The sequence below is a fragment of the Homo sapiens genome, chromosome 10 (genome assembly GCF_000001405.40).
Source record: "Homo sapiens chromosome 10, GRCh38.p14 Primary Assembly".
Classification (NCBI taxonomy): domain Eukaryota; kingdom Metazoa; phylum Chordata; class Mammalia; order Primates; family Hominidae; genus Homo; species Homo sapiens.
The window spans coordinates 108,394,104-108,415,839 of NC_000010.11; the positions used below are offsets into that span (position 1 = coordinate 108,394,104).

At 37.0% G+C, this 21,736-nt stretch overlaps 1 long non-coding RNA gene across 3 annotated transcripts in view; it reads right to left on the bottom strand.

The window, feature by feature from the left end:
- Positions 1-1,547: 1,547 nt before the first annotated feature.
- LOC105378477 (uncharacterized) overlaps positions 1,548-21,736 on the bottom strand; it is a 70,747-nt gene continuing 50,558 nt past the window's right edge. For all 3 annotated transcript variants that reach the window (XR_946310.2, XR_946309.2, XR_946308.2), the window contains exons 4-5: positions 3,069-3,157; positions 1,548-1,749 (exon numbers count right to left, since the gene is read on the bottom strand). This is a non-coding gene — a long non-coding RNA (uncharacterized LOC105378477). The remainder of the gene's footprint in view (positions 1,750-3,068; positions 3,158-21,736) is intronic.

Sequence of the window (21,736 nt, forward strand, 5' to 3'; positions counted from 1 at the left end):
TGAGAAATGAAAGTAAAAACCATTGAATACATAGATGTATGCCAGGCTACTAGTTTACAATGAGGCAAGGACAAAAACAAGAACAAATCCAGACAGGGCAAAGCACAGGGGCAGGAGGAGTATGGCAGATGATTTGGGAGCTGACAAAATTCTGACTTCAGAAATATCAGCTAGAAAAAGAAGATTCACATGAGCATGGCAGGTCTCAGTGGGCAATATCAAAAGGGCAGATACTACTGTAAGTTTTACTTGTTTGGAACACATGATGCATGAATGCACAGTCTAGGACAGGAGCACCTTACTTGAGCTCAGTTTCATTCTTCCTGCTGAGAGTGAATATTTCTTGTAAAACTGAAATCTCATGCGTATTATTGGGCACTCTAATTTTTTTCAATCATTATAACATTATATCATGAACATTTTCATATGGCATAAAATTGCTTTCAAGGCTGCCATTTTTAATGGCTGTGTAATGGTCCATTAGATGGATATATTGTCATTTATACAGTTATTCTTATATAACTGGACATTTATTTTATTTTGGCTACAGAAAATACATTTACAGCTACAGAAAATACCACTCTGGCCAGCAATGTGGAGCCTCCATTGCCTTTTGTGAAAAATGGGCTTTTTGCAGATTAAATGAGATAGTTCATATTGTGGAAGGTATGGCATGTGGTAGAAGTTCCATGAAGTTCTTGTCACCTTCTTTATATAGAAGCATCAGTCATTTAAAAACTCGATAGACCCTCAAGAAGCCTTTTACTGATCTTACGTTGAGACAGCAGCAGCTTACTTAAGGTGAGCAGGTGAGCCTTGAAGAAGAATCCTCAACCTCTCTTGGTAACTTGACATAAACTCTCAAGGCTTCCTTTTCTTCTAAGTCATCTTCAACTTTATTTCTCTGCTGTGTCCACGTGTAATATGCACTCAAGTTCTGTTGATTTTGCTCTCCAGGTATGTTTTTTTATCTGCCCTGTTTTTGTATTCCTGTTTCAAATGGACTAGCTCATAAACTGGTCATCTCTAACATGAATTATTGCAATAATCCCTTCATGAGCCTAGACTGTGATGATTAAATGAGGTGAGGCATTTCTGAATGTTAGCACAGGCCTTGACACATAATTAGCGTTCATTATGAATTAGTCAATAATAGTGATATAAAAATAATAACAGTAATGAAAAAATTCAAAATGCAATATCTTATTATAACAAAGGATTACTAAGTGAATAATATATCTAAGGCAGAGAATAGTTACTATGGGAAACACTGAACCTTTGCTTTTCAGAAACATACACTGTATTTGGGGAGAGAAATAAGAATGCCAAGAGAAATTCCAAACAATTAAACAAATTACTTTAAACTAAGCAGATTTTTGCTCTAGTTCTGACATCAAGTCACATTTTAAGAAACTTTAGTATGACAACCCAAAATGATTGTAAGTTAATTTACATCAAGTTTGTTATCTCCTTATAAATATCAAAGTGAGTTCTCATTAAAACTACTCAGAAAAACATATTAAATATGTCTTTCTAAATCCCTCTTACACTTGTCTCTACATTCACTGTAGCATATCCTTAATATGTCTCTCATTTCCTTTATTTCACACTATTTTAAAAAATAGTTCGTTTTAACTCAACAGAAGACAAGCAGGTTCTTATGTTTTTTTTCCCTACCTCTTCTATCTCAGGCTCAGCAATTCACATCCTTGTGGCTTTTTAAATTTTTCTCTAGCTCCAGATTCTGCACTGTAAAAGAAAATTCAAGATCTGACATAGGAATCAATAACTGCTCCTTCAAAGAGGAAAGTAGGAAGGGGAGAGAAGATATTTTTAAGGCATACATTAATAAGTGAAAAATATAAAAAGTGTACAAATGATGCATGTTATTATAATTATAAACAAACTGTATGCTGAGGCTGCATGGAGGCCACCAGTAATTTTTGCACGTGAGGCATGGATGGATAAGGCAGGAGGGTAGGGTTAATCATTTGCTCCCCAAAATAAGAAGGAGGGCTTGGGCTGCATTCCCCTCAGGGAAGGCCATGCTTTTGAGTTATAAAATAAATGACACTTAGGCTGATAAAAACTAGGCTGAGAGGCTGAAGATAGCAGCAACAGAAATTGTCCATAAGTTAACAGATAGAGGTGTGACACGGCATGCTGGAAACAGAGTTCTCTAGAGCGGCCTTCAGACCCATTCCTGTTTGCCCTCTGTGATCAATCTGCCACAGAAATATGATGGAAACACCTAGTCTGTGTAAAATAAATGGGTTTGCAAAAATGTAATATGGAATTTGGCCGATGTTATGGCTTTACAGAAATGAGATGATTTGAGATGTACTGTGTGTACAACTTTGCCAAGCCTCTGAGATGCTTCTTTAGCCCTGGGGGGCAGAGCAGGGCTTAGCAGTTATGCCATGGACCTTTACAATGTCTCTACCAGGAGGTGGAGTTTTCTGATATGAGTGTTTATAAAAGGCTAAGGAAACTCTCAGTTTTGTTGGCTCAGAAAGGCCCCATTTTCCTTCCCTTGGAATGTAGGTGTCTCCCAAGTGCCGGGCAAATAATCGTTTATGGGGCTGACATGAATCGGTTTCTCCTCAATGCCTGACAAATAATTTCATATAGGACTGTGTCCTTCCCCGGTGTTTTTCTCACTTGAGGTGGTAGGGAAAGTTTTCTCTTAGGTTCATAAGGCCTGAAGGTACAAGTACAGAACTATGCCCAGTAATAGTTTCAGCTTTGTCAGGAAAAGCAGTCTGAAAGAGGAAAATAATTTACAAAAAGAAGAGAAGATGAGAGGAGAGGAGAAAATGGGTAAAATGAGTTACATCCTAGGGCAAGGCATGAGAGAAGGAGGGCAGAGCTTCCATCCCCTACCTGGGCATATCACCTTCCAGAAACCTCCCCATGTTCAGCTATCAGAAGTTCTACAAACCCTGTCCTCTGGGGCCTTTAAGAAAGAGTTCATTGGATAGGCATGGTTAACAACCATGTAGAAATAAGATCAGACAAAAAGGGTATGATCTAATTCTCAAAGACTGAGTGGAGAAAACCAGCACTACCTGTCCAGAGTCTTCTTAGCCTCTCTGTGTAGCATTCCTTCTTCCAGGAGATGGGGCAGGACCTTATATGTTTAGTTTCTAAGCCTTGTCTTGCAGAAAAGAAAGAAAGAAAAAAAAAGCAGGAGGTCAAATAGAGGGATTCTGTTTTCTGAGCCTTGCTTCTGAGACCTAAAACACTCCAATATATAACAAGGGCAACAGCAATTATAGACCAGGAACCATGGAGATACACCACATACACATGCATACACAAACATATATATATGTATGTATGTATGTATGTTTGACATAAACTCTCTATACACATATACACACATATACATATATGTATAAACACATACACACATATACATATGTGTATATAAATGTTTTTGCCATGGTTCTTGGCTCACAGGGAAAGGATCAATTTGACCACAGCATGGAAGTAAAGACCGAACCATTCTCCCACTGATGTTTCTATGAACGATACCATTCTCCCACTGATGTTTCTATGACCGATACTTTCCCATCCCTCTGATTCCAGCGCAAATGCTACTTCCTCCAAGGAGCCTTCCCTGATTCACCTATCTAATGTTCCCAGTAGCTCAACATCACATATTGGCTTTGTTGAATTTGTAGCACTCATGCCAGGTTCAATGATCTAAATTGCTGGTCCAGCGTTCAGCTGTGTCTCTCCCTCACTGGCCTGCAAGGTCTATAGCAACAGGTGTCTTGTTAATCTTGGATACCTCTGATTGCTGGTGCCCACCAAGGCACTTGCAAAAAGAGAGTTCTCATTAAATATCTGTTAAGATAATGAGTTGGGAAGTGAGAATAGAAAAAATCTGGAGTCTGAGAGTGAATGCCACAGAGTCCTAGGTTTATGCAGAAGATAATAAAGACCTGGGGGTAATTGTCAGAGCTGCGCTTTTAGGAGACTGACTCAGTTGGTGTGCAGGAGGAATAGAGTAGTCGAGGACTGGAAGAGCTGAGCTGAGCAATTAGGAGGCAACAGCAGATACCCAGGCAGAAGCTGATGCTTGCTGATTGAGTGAATTAGAGGAGAGATTCTCAGTTTTCCTAATCATAACAACAACAAAAGAATGATAAGTGCAACATGTCTACTTTTTCCTTTTCTCCACCTCTCATAGCTGGTTTTCCTGTAAGAGTCTCCCATCTTCTTCCAGATATTTTTCCAACCAGCATCTTTCATATGAATCTACAATGTTATCCCCTGTACCAGCCCCCTACAGGTAATAGCTTCAGAGAACACAATGGGAATGGCTGATTAGATAACGAAAGCACCAAGACCTACATTCCCTGGTTGTACAGGATTTGTGTTTCCCTGGGCCAGTTCAGGACACCCTTATCACCACCTATACAAACTTTCGCTAATCCAACAGGCCACATTTTTACTACCCTCACAGATTATGTTTGTTCAATTTGTGTTTCTCACAATTGTTATAAATATTTTCATATTGTATATGCAATATTGCAACTTTTTTTTTCTTCAAACATCTGGTTTGGGGATTTAGTTAAGTGATAGGTAGCTTTAATTACTCCATTACCATTGGCATAGAGCTTCCATTATGTGAGTATGTATCATTTATTTAACTATTTTTCCTACTAAAGAACATTTCATTTAGTTCTATTTTAGTTTGGTTTTGGTTTGGTATTTTGGTCTTACACACAATGTTACATTGAACATACTATATATCTTTCCTTGTATTTATATTAAGGAAACCTCTAAGAAATTCTAAACATTTCTTAGATTCCAAACAATTGCTGGGTCCAAAGTACGTTTACAAATATTCAACCATATCAAATACTATCTAACTATCCTCAAAGAGTGCTGTACCACTTACACAACTTTAAGCAGGATATAAAATCCTCTATTTTTTCCCATCTCCTTGTCAATCCCTTGAATTACAAGTCTTAAATATTTATATGTGTGTATTACAATAGGTATGCATTTTTCTTTTTGCATTTATTTCCAAATATTATCTTATAGTTGTTAGCCATTTGTGTTTCCTCCTCTGTGAATAACATGTTAATAATTTTGGCCTATTTTTCTACTAGCTTATGTGTGGTTTTGCTCTTTATTTGTAGGACTTTTAAGTAAATTTTGCATACAGTCTTCTCCCAACACTGTTATAAAGATTTTGCCCTCATTTTCTTGTTTCAGGACTTTAACACAAGCAGAATTTATTTCACATTTACCTCTTGCTTCTCTCCTCAGTCTCTGTACTTGAGTTCCCTCTATCCTTCCCTAACCTTATGTAATTCCTGACTCTGGGACAGCCTGAGCACCACTTTCTTCATGAAGTTTTCCTGGTGGCTCCATCCCTGCCTGGCTACACCCTCCCTGGAATTCTAAATTGCTTCTCAATGAATTAATGACAATTTTTGCTTAACACAAGAGTTGTAAACGCAGATGCCTGCAGCAACCATACAGGAAATCTAAGTAGATAAAGTGTGCCTGATTTAATACAATGGGTGGGGCAGGGGTTGGAGTCTGTGTTGAAATAGACACAATTTACTTCCGCTCAAAACGTCAGACATTGCTATGAGTGCATATGGTCCCAGCTTGGACAGAGCTGCTGATATTTTTGTTTTTCCTGTTAGGAATATAGATTTTTCATGTGAAACCTTCTGATTTTTAAATATTGCCAGAGAGCGCAAACATTTTTTAAAAGTATTATGTAGGTAAAATAAGTTGTATCTATTAGGCAGGATTTTACTTTCTGCCCTCAAACTCAAATTATTTCTAATAATGTAACAATTTGTAAACATAATTTGTTTTCCCAATTAAACCAGAATTCCTTTGTGCCTAGAAACACTCTTTTTGTATCTGCCACTGCATCTATTGTGGAAACAAAAGCCTGAAAATTCTCAATAAATCCTGACGGATTATTGATTGACAAGAGACTTTATAATCACTTATAAATGCACAGTCCTCCCCATAGCCAAATACTGAGGATGGTATCATGGGGGATTCCATAATGAGTCCAAATGACCAACAGTCTGTCTACCTACTTAGCATTTGTCATTCCAGCCAAACTTGCACATGTTCCCAACAGCCAGTTGTGTCCTTTACCCAGGCAGCTTCACCACTGCAGTTTCGTTTCTGTGCTGAGTCCTTGTCCTCAGAGTCAAGGCACCCTTGCACTCCCCAGCCAGCTATATGCAGGTGCCTGGTATTTATTTGACCAAAAACAGGATTGAGAAGCTTCAATTTGGTCTAGCAGTGCTCTCAAACCACCTGTACTTCTATCAAGCCCTTTGGAAAGCACAAACAAGTGGCTTTTGAACTTCTGGGGAAAAAAAGAAAAAATCACCTGGGACTTTTAGAAAATACTACATCCGCGATGTCCTCTACAGTCAAATATTCGGAAATACTAGAAGCTGTTACAAGGTAGGGTCTCAGACATCAGTATCTCTTAAAAAGCTTCCTAGATTATTCTAATGTGCATCTGGAATTGAGAACCACTGTATCTGCTAGATAACTAGGCCTTTGCTGTTTTCACTGGAAATATGCAACTTGCTTCACTTGTGTGTGACTTTATTTTTATCACAATTCAGTAGTGAGGATGATTTAATTAATTTATTTAGTGTAGCAATGGGCTGAACCTCTGCTTTCCTGCTCAAGAAGAAGATGATCCCTGAGAGTAACTTCTAAATCAGCAGCCTCCAGATTAACCCTCTGAAAACAACAAAGAATGTCCCCTCCCAGCCCACCTTCCTTCACTTCAACTAACACGTATCTCCTTTTCATTTACGGGCTGTGTAATTAATAAGCTATATCCCTGGTTTAATGTCCATATAAAATTTTCACATCCATTGCTTGTGTTTGACAGACAGAAAAAGAATATATGGGTATAATAAAGCAAGTACTTTATAAAAATTTAAATGCATGTTTTGGAGCATTCTTTACAGGGGAGAAAAGAGAGGAGGAAGTAGAAATGAAATTCAATTGTAACCTTGGAGAGAAAGTTAGAATCTAAATGAAGGGGAGAAAGAAATCTCAGATACTTAAAATGTGGGAGGCAAGGATACAATCGTATACACAGCTTACAGCTTTGTGAAAATAGGTTCTGACTCCTCCACAATTTGACCCTTGCCTACCTCATTGGATGGGCATATTTCTGGAGCAGGTCCCCTGATAATCTTGTTAGCAGGGATCCTTTCTGGGTTAGGTTGTCTGTGTGTCCCTGTGACACTTCCTCACTCCCAAATTCCTGCTGACACCCTTAAAGAATGTTCAGAGGTCTGAAGATTCAGACAGTGACCCATTTTTATTAGGCAAAAAAACACTACATTTAAAAACATTTCTCAGTACACCTGACATAGTAGGTGCTCAATAAATATTAGTTGAATGAATGAACATATTACTGTTCAATCACAAGGTGGATCTGAATGGGAAGCTCAAAGGACTTTTTCCCAATGAATAAGAACCCAAAGAACCAATGGAAAAGCTTCCTATGTCTCCAAATGTGTCAGCAAGGGCACATTTCTTGGAACAAATTCTTCTTGGGAAATCACCAAGAGTAGACAGATAGGGAATATAAGACTGTGTTTATCTGCATCACTTGCTGATATTTAACTCAGTAGGGAAGAAAATAAAAATAAAACAAATAAAAACTTAATATTGGTATTTTTCAGCTATTTCCATGCAGTAGCTAACACCATTTTAGGATTCCTAAATACGTTTTTTTTGAGTGATTGGAATGGTGTGGTGGCTTTGTCAAACTGACTCAATTAAACCATATTTCCAAGAATCCTGGTCCCTATATGTTCCTGGTTCATCTTATCACAAGAAAATAAGATTGTGGGCAAGACTGGAAAATAAGAGTAAAGCAATAGTCACGTGTACTCTAAAAAAGTCAATGTGGGTCAGGATCTGATACAGATTATGCACAATTGTTCAGATTTTTTGGTTCATCTTGTTGCCATGGGTAGCAGACCTGCCAATTGTTCTAGCTGAATGGAATCTATTTCTATTCTTTTGTAAATCCTAGGCCAGATGATTGGATGGTTCTGTGAGAAGACAGATCTCCAGCTCCTTTTGGAAGTCATCTGCAGCAGCGAGGTTGGAAGCTTGAAGACGACAAGAGGCCAACACAGGTTTCCGAGAGAGAGAGAGAAGTGCAAGTTCCAGCTCTTTTCTTAAATGATCCCATTTTACCTGTTCACCACAACTTCAAAAATAGCCATCAATCTTGACCACTTCTCTTGTGTCTTAAGGTTCATAATCAAAGGTAGAAGGAACAGAAAAACCAAGGCTGTCTGACTAGATCCCATAATTGCATGTGATCAAACTATTATAATGAATACATTATATTACATCATTCCCAGCAATTCTCTTTCTGGTTGAAGCCTGACTGATACAGAATTTAGTACTGGAAGTATTTCCAGAAGAAAAGAATTTAAGGATGAATTCTCAGAATTTATTATGGTTATCTGGGAATGGTTATCTGATATGATTAGTTTAAAGGCTCTAATTTAATCTGTTTCCAGTGGAAAATGAAACACCATTAGCCTATAACATGCAGTGGCCAAGTAGCCACTTAAATGATCACTTGTTGACACTTGTGATCAAATAACTACAGAAATGTTTGCTGCCATAGAATATTTTCGTGGAAATAAGGAATAAAATGTAGTTGGTTTATTGCTTTTGAATTCAATGGAGACCTTTAAATAAAATTATGAGCTCAGGGCTTTAAATTCCCAGTTCAAAGACTGCTTAAGAGACTCAGAAGCTTCTATGATTGAACTAAAATAAAACCTTATTACACTTAGCTGCAGGATTGAGATTTCTGAAAACAAAGTTCAAAGTCTAATAACAAATATGGCTAAATTATTATACAACACAAATTAAAATTTCTAATTGTCAGGGTCCTTTAGTCAATATTTAGGCATTAATTGGAGAGAAGTGAGACACTGAATTCAGGTTGTGAGTACATGGGAAGATATGAATAAAGCAGGAGAATTTGACTTGTAAATTCTGTTTAGCCTACCTTGACATTAGGAACAGTCTTTCTTTCTCTGAGTAGCACAGCCTGTCCATTGCCTGAAAAGCCTGTAAAGGCCTCCTATGAAGTAGATTTATTACAAGGATCTGATGGTTCTTTCCATTATATATACATGCTACTTCTTATTACTTCTTATTGCCTTAAAACCTATTATAAGACTCAAGTCTCAGTAGACCATGAGGGTAAGAAACAAAGTGTGACCCCTGGCAAAGGGCAATGCACATCAAATGCACTGCATTATTTTAAAAAATTATATACAAAGGCCGAGGAGGGTGGATCACTTGATGTTGGAGTTCGAGAGCAACCTGACCAACATGGAGAAACCCCGTCTATACTAAAAATACAAAAATTCGCTGGGCGTGGTAGTGGGCACCTGTAATCCCAGCTACTCGGAAGGCTAAGGCAGGAGAATCGCTTGAACCCAGGAGGCTGCAGTGAGCCGAGATTGTGCCATGGCACTCCAGCCCGGACAACAAAAGTGAACTACATCTCAAAAAAAAGAAAAGAAAAGAAAAGAAAATATAATATATGTTGAAGAGTATTCTGTATTGTTAAAATCCTGGATCAGGGTTGAAGTAATCTAATGAATAAATGTAGGCTCATTAAAGGGCTTTTATACTTTGCTTCATCAGTTGACAGAAATCTGGACCCCAAGATAACCTGTATTTAAAGAAATTCTAAATGTCATACCTACTTTAGTATACTACAAAAGGAGGTATTGAAAAGCTTGGAGAGGGGCTTTGGGGTCAGCTCAGATATGTAAATAACTCAGAGTAAGCATTCCATCCTTTCAATTAGGAAAGTTAGAAACATGTGAAAGCAAACACTTTTATTTGTCCCACCAGGTAAGTGAGGTTTCAGTACAAACTACTACCCCCAAATCTGGGAGAGGCACAGTGAAACACAGGACCTGAGATTTACTTAGCTGGAGCAGTGTTCACTAGATGCTGTAAGAGCATAAAACTAGAAATACCAATGAATTGCTGGTGGCCAAGTGTGGGCTACTGGGAGAACAAGCTACTGGCAGTTGCAGTCATTGGAGGGTACCTACATTTCTGCAGGCTTTTCTTCCAAGGACTCTACTACTCTCACACAGGGATAATTGAGAAAATCTGAAGACAGCCCCTCACTTGACCATAGCAGAAGAAAAAGAGGGGAAGAGTAACCATTGCGCAATCTGTGCAGAGCTTTCATTCTCTGGAACACTTAATCTCAGGAAGAAAATTTCTAGATGGCAGCAATGAAATCCCATCTGACTAAAGGGAAGAAACTTTGCTCTGCTTTGTTCTAGCCCTACTCTAACCTCTCTGATTTACATATAAAATAGAAGTTGTAATCTGTAGGAGAGAAGGCTTGAAGGACACAGACTGGGGACACTGGAGAATACTTACCATAAATGGGAAAGGATTATGGAGCATAGAGAGGAAAAGCTTTTTTTTTTCCCGACCCCCCTGGAGAAGGGACAGAAACAATGTAAAAGCCATGCCTCTGATACATGATCTAAGGTGCACTCCAAATACTGGAAATTAATCAAAAGAAAACCCTCACTACTTCCTCCATCCTCTAAATCCATGCTAATAAGACTCCAGTTAAAACAATAGTGGATTGTAACTGGGAAAACTTCAAGAGAAACAATATTCCTGAGAAGAAGCACAAAGAGAAGACCCAAAGCCAAGAAGAAAGAGAAGACAAGTCAATAGAGTCATTTTAAGATTTTGGTCCCCATGGCTGCAACAAATATCATACACAGCCTAATACTTAGCTCTGTAAATGTAAGTTCTCACACTGATGAATGCTAATTTGCCTCTATATATTGTGCTGTAAAACATTCCTGACTTTCAACTACAACAAAATTACAAGCCAAACAAAAAGACAAGAAAAAAATAGCCTCAAGTAAAGGATCAATAATCAGAATTAAGGACAGATATAACACAAACTAAAATTATCAGTCAGATATTTAAAATAAATGTTTAATATTTTAAAGGCACTAATGGAAAAGATATATAATATGCATGACCAGATGTATAACATGAGCAGAGAGATGGCCAATATCAGAAAAAAACACAAATAAATACTTGAAGTCTAAAACACTGTAACAGAAATGATGTCTACCTTACATGGATCATCAGTAGACTCAACACAACTTAGGAATGAATCAGTAAGTCTAAATATATGTCAATAGAAATTATCCAAACTTAAAGGCAAATAGAGAAAAAAATAACAAAAAAGAGCAGAATATCCAAAAACTTTGGAACATTATAAAACAGCATAACATGCATATAATTGAGAGAAGCAAAAAGAAAGATGGAACAAAAGAAATACTTGAAGTAATAATGGATGAACATTTTCTAAACTTAGTGACAGACAATAAATCATGAATTCAAGAAAGCCAGAGAATGCTCAGCAAGATGAATACAAGATAAAACAAAGTAAAACAAAGCAAAACAACAACAAAATACCTGGGCATTTTATATACCAATTATAGAAATCAAAAGATAACCAGAAAAATCTTAAAGGTAGCCATGGTGATAAAGGAGCACTTTAACTACAGAGAAAGATGAACAACAATTATAGCTGAGTTTCCAGCAGGTAACATGCAAATGAAAAGCCAGCAGAGTTAAACATTTGATGTGCCAAGAGGAAAAAAAAAAAAAAAAAAAAAAACTAAAGTGAAAACATAATGCTAAGCCAAAACTCTAGATCTAGTAAAATGTGCCTTCAACAGTGAAGAAAAAAATGTAGACTTTCCCTAACAAACAAAAACTGAGAAAATTAATCACTAGTGGTCCTGCAAGAATTTTTTTTAAAAAAGTTTTTCAGTTAGTAGAAAAATGGTAACTATCAAAAACTTGAAGATCATTCAGAAATCAATGGATGAAAATATAATCTTTCGTGTTTTATATTCTAATTGATCTAAAAGATAAATGTTTAAAGCCACAACAATAACACCATTAAAGTTTATGTGAAGTGTTCAAATACAGTTTACATGAAGTGATTAAAGTATATATAAAATGAAATAAATGACAGCAATGTCTCTGACACGGGAAGATGGAATTGGGAACATACTGCTGTAGGACATCTTCACTTCATATGAAGAAATATATTATTACATGAAGGTGAGCTTAGATCATTTTTAAATGTACATTATTATCAAAATGAAAAACTAAGAGAAGAATAAATAAGCCAATATAAAAATAAAATTGAATTTTTTTTAAATGCACACCCAGTAGAATGACAATATAAAGAAGAAACAAAAAAAAAGTTCATAAGGATACAGAACAACGTAAATTCTATTACATTACTGGTGAGAATATGAAACAGTACTGCCACTTTGAAAGACAGATTGGAAGTTTCTTACAAAACTAAACATAGTCTCAGCATGCAATCCAGCAATTATGCTTTTAGGTATTTACATAACCTTAAACTTTACGTCCACACAAAATCTGCACGTGAATGTTTATGGCATCTTTATTCATAATTGCCATAAGCTAGCATCCACCAGAATGTCCTTCAATAGGTTAATGAATAAAGAAACAAACAGTGGTACATCCATAGAATGGAATATTCATCAGGAACTGAAAGCCAATTCCATACTAACAGAATAAATTATTTTTAAAAACTGAAGGGGAAGACACAACTCTCCCATGCACAAGAATTCTAAATAATAGATGTTCAAAGATGTTCAAAGATTTCTAAAATAATAGAAATTCTAAAAATATGTTCAAGGAAGTGGGGTATAATTCCCTGCTCCTTAATTGTGGGCTGTGCATACTGACTTATTTCCAAAGCACAGTATGAAAACTGGAGTGAGTGGGGGAGGAGTAACTTTACAATACAGAAACCTGCTAAACACTACCTCAGTAAGGTGATCAAGGTTAACATTAACAGTGATAAGTCAGGTTAACAGTGTGCACCTTTTGCATCATGTGATTAGTATGGTACTTTATCTCTGAAATATGTTTTCTTGAAACACGTAACTATAGTCTAAGCATGAGAGAAATATACAAATCCAAATTGAGGAACATTCTACAAAATACCTGAACAGTACTCTTTAAAATTATCAAAATCACCAGAAACAAGAAAAGTTTTAGAAACTCTCACACATGAAAACAAAATGTAATATGGCATCCTGGACAGGATTCTGGAATGGAAAAGGATAGAAAACTAAAAAATCTGAATTAAAAATTGATTTGGCTTTTTAAAGTTAAGGCAGGAAAAGAGGGATGAAGAGAGAGAGAAAAAAATACAAGCATGTAGAAAACAGCAGATGGTGAATTTTAATCCAGTAATATATTAGTTTAAATCTGAATAGTCAAAACATACTAATTATAAGGCAGAGCTTGTCAGATTGGATTTTTTGAAAGGAAAAAAAAATGTAAAACCTCAGGTGGTTAAAAGTAAATGGATAGAGAAAAATATATGATGCTAGCATTTTTTTTTAAAAAAAGCTGGATTAACTATATTAATTTTAGACACTAGCCATTTGTTAGGTAAAATTAACAACCAATATGGATGGATAAAATGGAAGTTACATTTATTGCTATGGGTTAATATTCACTATGTACTATGTACAATGTTTCATATGATTATCTTATTTTCTTGACTACCTCATTAAGTAGGTAGAAATATTTTTCCAGTTTCATAGTTGAGAAAACCAATATCCAAGAAGTTAAATAAGTATTGAGCTTCTCTTAACAAGGAAGTAAGCAAAAGCCAGGATTCCAACTCATGTCATATGATTCTAGAGCCCATATGACTGTACAGTATAGAGTTTAATTATGTAGCCACAAAAGAGTTGATTATGATCATCAGCTGGTAACAAACCAATTGATAAATGTGAGGAAGCATAGACAAGGTATGACTAGAAATCTTAAGGACACTATCTTTTGAATTCCATAAACTAATCTCTTAGAACCAACACAAATGTATTCTGATTCCACAAGTTTAAATAGTTACTTAATGGGGAAAACAAGGGAGTGCATTGCTTAGTGACATCTTCATTATTATTATTTACAGATAGGTCTTGCTATGTTTCCCAGGCTGGACTTGGACTTCTGGGCCCAAAAGAGCCTCCTGCCTCAGCCCCCTGAGTAGCTGGAGCTACAGGCACATGTCCCAGAGCCCGTCATAGTGATTTTTAAGACATGAAAGATGGCCACCTCACAAAATTTTTGAGTGGACAACAGCACTGGAGATTGACAGTCTATACCTTTCATTTGATAGTTGAGTAAACCGGTGCCCAGAAATACGAAGTCATGTATCTAAGTCACAACTCAGGGACACAACCAGCATGAGATCCACATACTCCTCCTCTGAAGCTTATTCCACAAGCTGTTTTATATTCCTTTTGAATTACTTAAGCACATCTATTTAAAGTTTGAAAGACAGATTTGTTGATTTAGGTATTCTTTAGCCATTGTAGTCCCCAAAAATTCTGATCAACCAAATTTTTTCTTTGTATAAAATTAACGGGCGGCCGGGCGCGGTGGCTCACGCTTGTAATCCCAGCACTTTGGGAGGCCGAGGCGGGCGGATCACGAGGTCAGGAGATCGAGACCATCCTGGCTAACACGGTGAAACCCCGTCTCTACTAAAAATACAAAAAAATTAGCCGGGCGTGGTGGCGGGCGCCTGTAGTCCCAGCTACTCGGGAGGCTGAGGCAGGAGAATGGCGTGAACCCGGGAGGCGGAGCTTGCAGTGAGCCGAGATTGAGCCACTGCACTCCCGCCTGGGCCACAGAGCGAGACTCCGTCTCAAAAAAAAAAAAAAAAAAAAAAATTAACGGGCAAAAGTGCAATTATGTTATATGCACATATTGCATAGTGGTGATGTCTTGGCTTTTAGTGTATCTACCATTTTTTCAATAAACATAAAAACGATTTTTCTGTAAGAACCAAAAAGGACCCTTCCTTTGTCTCCCTACTCCACCATTGATAATGTGGAGAAAAGGCTTAACACATGCAGACGCACAATTTACCATGAATCTTCTACAATGTTTTCTGTCACTCTTCCCTGCTTTGGCTTCTCAGCAGAGTGATAGAGCCCTGTGGGAACAGGAAGACAGGCCAGGTGCCCTTGTGCTCTGATTTATGCTAATCTATTCAAGAAAGTTTGAAAAAAAAAAAAAAAAAAAGCAAATCAAACAAAGCATTTCATATTTAGAAATGCCAAACAAAACAATCACACACTTTTATGTTTCACACACCATGTGTGCCTTTAAATTGTGTTCTACTTGCATGTAAGTAAGGGAAACTGGGACATTGGCCCAGCTATCAAGGAGACCCAGCAGCCTTTTAATCTGACCAATACTTTTAGTTATCTCTTACACACCACACCCCTATGCTTATCTCCACTTACTGCTACCTGTTTTCAAAAGGCAACTTACTGATAGGAATTCTGCTTTTTGAAGCAACAATGCAAGATCTTCAGGCCCTAGGGATGAAGGAAAGCAAATGCCCAGTTATAACTTGGCTGAGCTTAAAAAAGCTAATCAGAAAGTGACCATTGCAGAATTGTTATCAAGATGACATGCCCTAGGAAGCACTGAAATAGGAACAGGAGAGAAAATTAGGACATGAGGCAACATGTAGAAGGAGGAGTCACCTTGAAGATTCTTCCATTCTGAATTTAGCACTTCAGACATTCTATGTCTCTGCATAGCCTGTCTCCAACTAAGATTTTTGGATTCTGCAGATTGAAATTGACTCAAAGCCTCTTTATTTCAGCTTCTCCTTTTATTTTTTTTTAAGTTCTGGGATACATGTGCAGGGTACGCAGGTTTGGTACATAGTACGTGTGGCATGGTTGTTTGCTGCACCTATCAACACATTACCTAGGTATTAAGACCAGCTGCTTTAGTTATCTTTCCTGATGCTCTTCCTCCCTCCACCCCTACAATAGGCCCCAGTGTTTGTTTTTTCCCTCCCTGTGTCCATGTGTTCTCATTGTTCAGCTCACACTTATAAGTGAGAACATGTGGTGTTTGGTTTTCTGTTCCTGTGTTACTTTGCTGAGGATAATGGCTTCCAGTTCCATCCATGTCCTCCCAAAGGACATGATCTCCTTCCTTTATATGACTGCAGAGTACCCCATGGTATGTATATATATATACACACCACATTTTCTTTATCCAGTCTATCACTGATGGGCATTTGGGTTGATTCTATATCTTTGCTATTCTGAATAGTGCTTCAGCTTCCTCTTTTTTAACCCCCTTCCTACTACATCCCCTTTAATCTGTTGTGCAGCCCAAGTTTAAAGAAACCAGGATGTTGAAAATGCCACATGACTCAGCAACTCATTTCTTCCTTCGATATTTGTAATAAAATTTCCTACTTCATGAACAGAAAACTAGTGAAATTCTCAACCAGTTAGCAAATGTGTAGACATGTCATTCTTCCTCATATTCAGAGTATAAACTAGAATAGTTAGGTGCTTTAAAATCTCTCTACATCTCTGTGTGTGTGTGTGTGTACTTTATTATTTACACGGAAAATTATTCAATATACATATACATATCTATATATATCATAACATCTATCTCTCTATATAGAGAGAGTATCAGGAAATGTATATTGAATGTAATATTTTGTGTAAATAATGTAATGAGCCCTAGTAGTAGTAAAATTAAAAGCTACCATTCATGAAAACTGACAGCATATGAAATATAAAAAAATGTCTCTAGACCCTTTGACTCTGTAAACACATCTCTGGTGATCATCCAAGGGAAATCAAAAGTAGGAAAACACAAATACACAGCAATATTCACATTAGGGTTATTTATAAAGGACCTACTGTTTTTGACAGTAAGACATTTATTTAATCTATTAAGCTAAATCCATTCAAACTTTCAGGTATTTTAAAATATGTTTAAATACTACTTAGCAGCCTAACATTTGGTTACGATATCTTCTCTTTTTTCAAAGAGCAGAATGCTTTAACAGCCTGAGTTTTTGGTTGCAAGAGCCAGAAGTCAACAATGGATAATTTTAACAAGAAACTCATAAAATAACAACATTGAGCAATTGAAAGAATTACAAGGAGAAACACAAGGAGGGCTGCAAAAGTAGGATTTGAGTTAACATAGCCAAAAACAAAAAAGTATTTCATAGCACACCACAGTACTGGAAAATACCATTGGTGAGCCTCTGAGAAAGACACCACAGCTTGCACTGCCGATGACACTGACCACAAAGCCTGGTGCTGCCCTGAGATTATTATGTAACTGCAGCTTTGGAAACCCCACTACAGCCATTGCTATCACCACTGCTACTCTCACCAGGGTGGATACTGGGCAGACCCTGTCCGTTCACATTACCAGCTTCAAATTCAGATTTGAGGTTTATGTATCTAGTAGTGCATGGATAAGCACCCTCAAGATAAAGAAAAAGAGGGACCTGGCATGTAATACAAGAGACTCTCTTATAAGGGCTTCTCCTTATAAGGGAAGGAGTCTTACTGTGCTTAATTTCTGAATTATAATTTATGAATTCGTAAGTTAGGCACAGGAAGACGTAATTCATTCAGGAATGTTTAGACCCAGATTAGACAAAAACAATGTCATGTGCCCACTAGAGACACAGAAATATATTAAACTATGGTTATAACTAAGCAAAACTCTTTGCATTAATACAAGGTTGCAATAAAATCATAATAGTAGCTGAGTTTACATTTAGCAATCTAGGTAATGTTTTCCTATTTCTCTAATGTTCTGTGTTATATCCTGATATGGTTTTAATGGTTTTGTCTCCTGCAAAACTCATGTTGAAACTTAATCCTCAATGCAATAGTGTTGGGAAATGGGACCTAATAGGAGGTGTCTGGTCATGAGGGCTTTGTCCTCAATAATGAATTAATGTCATTGTAAAAGGATGACACAGGCCCTAGTTTGCTTCTTTGTCCCTCTGCCTTATGTTACATGATGATGCAATAAGAAAGCCTTCACCAGATGCCAGTGCCTTGATCTTGGTATTCTCAGCCTCCAGAACCATGAGCCAATACATTTATGTTCATTATAAATTACTCAGTCTCGGGTACTGTAGTTTCTTCTCCCCCCTGGGGGATATATTCCGAGACCCCCAGTGCATGCTTGAAACCACAGTAGCACTGAACCGTTTGTATATTAATAGCATATTTTTTCATATACATAATACGTATGATGAAGTTTACTTTATGAATTAAGCATAGTAAGAGATTAGCAACAATAATAAAATAGGTCAATTATAACAATACACTGTGATAAAAGTTATGTGAAGGTACTTGTTCTCTTTCCCTCTCTTGTAAACCATCTTATTGTACTGTACTCACCTATTTTCAGACCGTGGTTGACCAAGGGTAACTGAAACCACAGAAAGCAAAACTGTGATAATGGAGAACTTCTGTAATCTGTTATAGAAGCACAAACAGATTCATATATACTCTTATTAAAAAAAAATATTTTCAAGTGTCCTTCCTCTCCTGAGTTAAAATTCAAGCTTCTGATGTCAGATTCTACCTTTTTCCTCCTTTTTAAATACAAACCTGACATTCCTTAGGGCAACTAGCATAGGGCTTAGAAAATGATGGGTATTTTGAAAAGTCCTGAAAAATAATGGAGAGAGAGACAGTCTGAGGGCAAGAGGAAAAAAAAATTAATGGATAAGCAATTGGATAATTCAGTGAACTAATGACTTTATTGGTTCTGGTAGAAATCTACCACAAGATCAGGGAAACTTTCTTCTTCTCATTTTCACTATCATTTTTATCAACATTATTTACTGCATAAAGCATCTGCCACAGTAAAGTCTGTGTCCATTTAATTGACATTATAATTTTTCTTAATTATAAAAATCTCACACACACACACACACACACACACTTCAATGAAACTGAGTAAATTACATCTGTTGTTAAGGACAAAGTAACATTAAGAAAAGCCTCAATTGTTTTGAGAAAACATTTTATCAATTTAATTGATATGCCTTTTTTTCAAAAAGCTAGGTAGAATGTGGTAAATGGATATACTAAGACAAGCAGGTACATAGATGTCATTCTTCCATGAACCATTGCTTGTTCTCCTTTCAGACACCAAGGCAGCAGACATGATCTCCCCAAGATCCAGTGATGGTCCAGAGTGAAAGGGGCTACAAAGGAATGGCTGCGGTTTGAGAACCTGAGTGCAAGGTGATTTTACCAGATGTCAGGAAAGAGAACATCAGCTGCTGTGCATAGTCTATGTAAATAAGAAAGTATCTTAAGTAGCATGCACTTATCCCACAGCATATCTTGATTATCCCTGAAATCCATAACTGCGCATGACTCTGTGAGGACTTGGATTCCTTATAATTTCCTTAGCCCTTGAATACCTGCAATTCAACTCCTGGGAGCATTCTTGCCAGCTCAACTGCCACATGTTTGGAAACACAGAAGAGCAGGCAAGAGGATAATTATGTGTTCTTCAAAGTCTGGAAAAGCCTCACTCTTGTGACTTAAATCCTGCTTGATATGCTCTCAGCAAGCTACTATCTTGACCTAGTAGTAATCACTTTTGAAAAGTAAGTAGCAAATATTCGTCCTGATACACACACACACACACACACACACACACACACGCACACACCCCTATATCTGTATCTTCAGGTTTTAAAAATCTTTTGCTTTGCTCATACACCCAGATGCTTTGAGAATGAAAGGAAATTTCCTTAAGTTTCCTCGTTTTACATCTTGAGTAAATTTTAAAAAAATGAATCATAATTCAAAGCAAAGCAAATTAATAGCTTTTAAATTATAAGTAAAATGTTATTCACATGCTGAGACACTGTCCATAAAATTAAGAGGCAGGTGTTTAATATGTTTTTTAATCTAAAAAGCAGGTATTGGAGAAAGAAAATAAGGTAACATAACACATACCAAGAACAAAGAAATTTAAATCTCTATCCATTAGAATGTTTTCAGCAACCAGTAACAGAAAACCTGACAAACTGTCACTTAAAGCACGAGAGCTTTCATAGTTTACATAAATAGAAGTCTGGATGAAAGTGGTTCCGAGTTTAATACAACAGCTCAACCACGTCATCCTAAGCATAAATTCCCTTTGCCCTTCTGGTTTGACAATCTCAGAGTATCAGATTTTCATTATCAGGAATGTATCTTCTTCATTCCGGTTCCAAACATGTTCAAAAAGGGAAAAAAAAATCCTCTGAAATAGAAATATAATAAAACAAAGTATTGCTGATAATTGTTTAATATTGTTATTATTATTTATGTACCAATGGAAATGATTGTGGCCTGAAGGTCAAAGTGATGCTCAGGAAAAGATATCCCCTTCCCTATTAAGAAGCCGCAAGAACAAAAAACCAAACACCGCATATTCTCACTCATAGGTGGGAATTGAACAATGAGATCACATGGACACAGGAAGGGGAACATCACACTCTGGGGACTGTTGTGGGGTGGGGGGAGGGGGAGGGATAGCATTGGGAGATATACCTAATGCTAGATAATGAGTTAGTTAGTGGGTGCAGCACACCAGCATGGCACATGTATACGTATGTAACTAACCTGCACAATGTGCACATGTACCCTAAAACTTAAAGTATAATAATTAAAAAAAAATAGAAAAAAAAAAAAAGAAGCCCAAACTTTACTGAAACCTGCATCTGTAACTGATTTTCCCCTCTGCTGCATTAGCCACTACAGGATCATTCGCTGTCTCTTGCTGCAAGGAAGCTGGGGAAGTGTATATATTGGCAAAGGCTAACAGAATCAGCATCTTTCTTTTCCCTTTCTTCACACCTCCTCACTCCCCCAAAATTGTTTTGCATTAGCAAGAAAAAAAAGTAGTACAGAGCAAGAATTCCTGCTGCAAAGGGATGGAGTATAATATGGGTCACTTTGTTCTTCCATTTAGACAAGCGCGATTCTGAAAATGATGCATGCAGAAAATTTTAGAATTGGGTAAAGTCCTTCTACAATGACTCTCTCAATATGTAAGGAGACCGTCCCCTCCTTATTTACCACTGTGATAATGACAGCATGAAAAGAAAGCATTGGAAACCAGCTTTTTCTCCAAAGGGGTTCAACAAAGGATTTGTCCAGCATGGTAGTCCAGAAGAAATAGTTCTTGTTGTCAGATAAATTTGAGGATTTTCAATACACACTAGTATATTAAAGAGTGATAAATATTATAGCTAAAAATAGGCGTAATGTCAAAAATGTTTTATATTATAACTACTAATGTGGAGAGGTTGGTGAGTCATGTATGTCTTTCCCCTCTAAGGAAAACAGGCAAGTTTCTGATTGGGCACTTAATATTCTCTAAGAAAAGATCTTCTAATGGTACCAAGGTTGTCTCAGCTCACTGTTAATAGTGCTGCTCATTTATGCTGTGTTTTCTTTACACTTTTCTTTCTTCAGACTAAACAAAGTATAAATTAGGCAGCAAGGAGTACGCAGTCTTACATTTATCCACCTAAGGGGGCTCAGACAGAAACAGATGAGTTTAAGCAGAGGCAAAACTGAAAATCAAGTTGAGTTCCATCTTGAATTGTCACATGGAAAAAAATGACATTTGGTGAGATCTCAAAAGATTATGAAAATTAAGAGATAGCAATACAAGTCATGTGTGTTTCAATTGTGGATTTCACTGAGTTGACTTTAAGCAGGAATGCTACACAAGT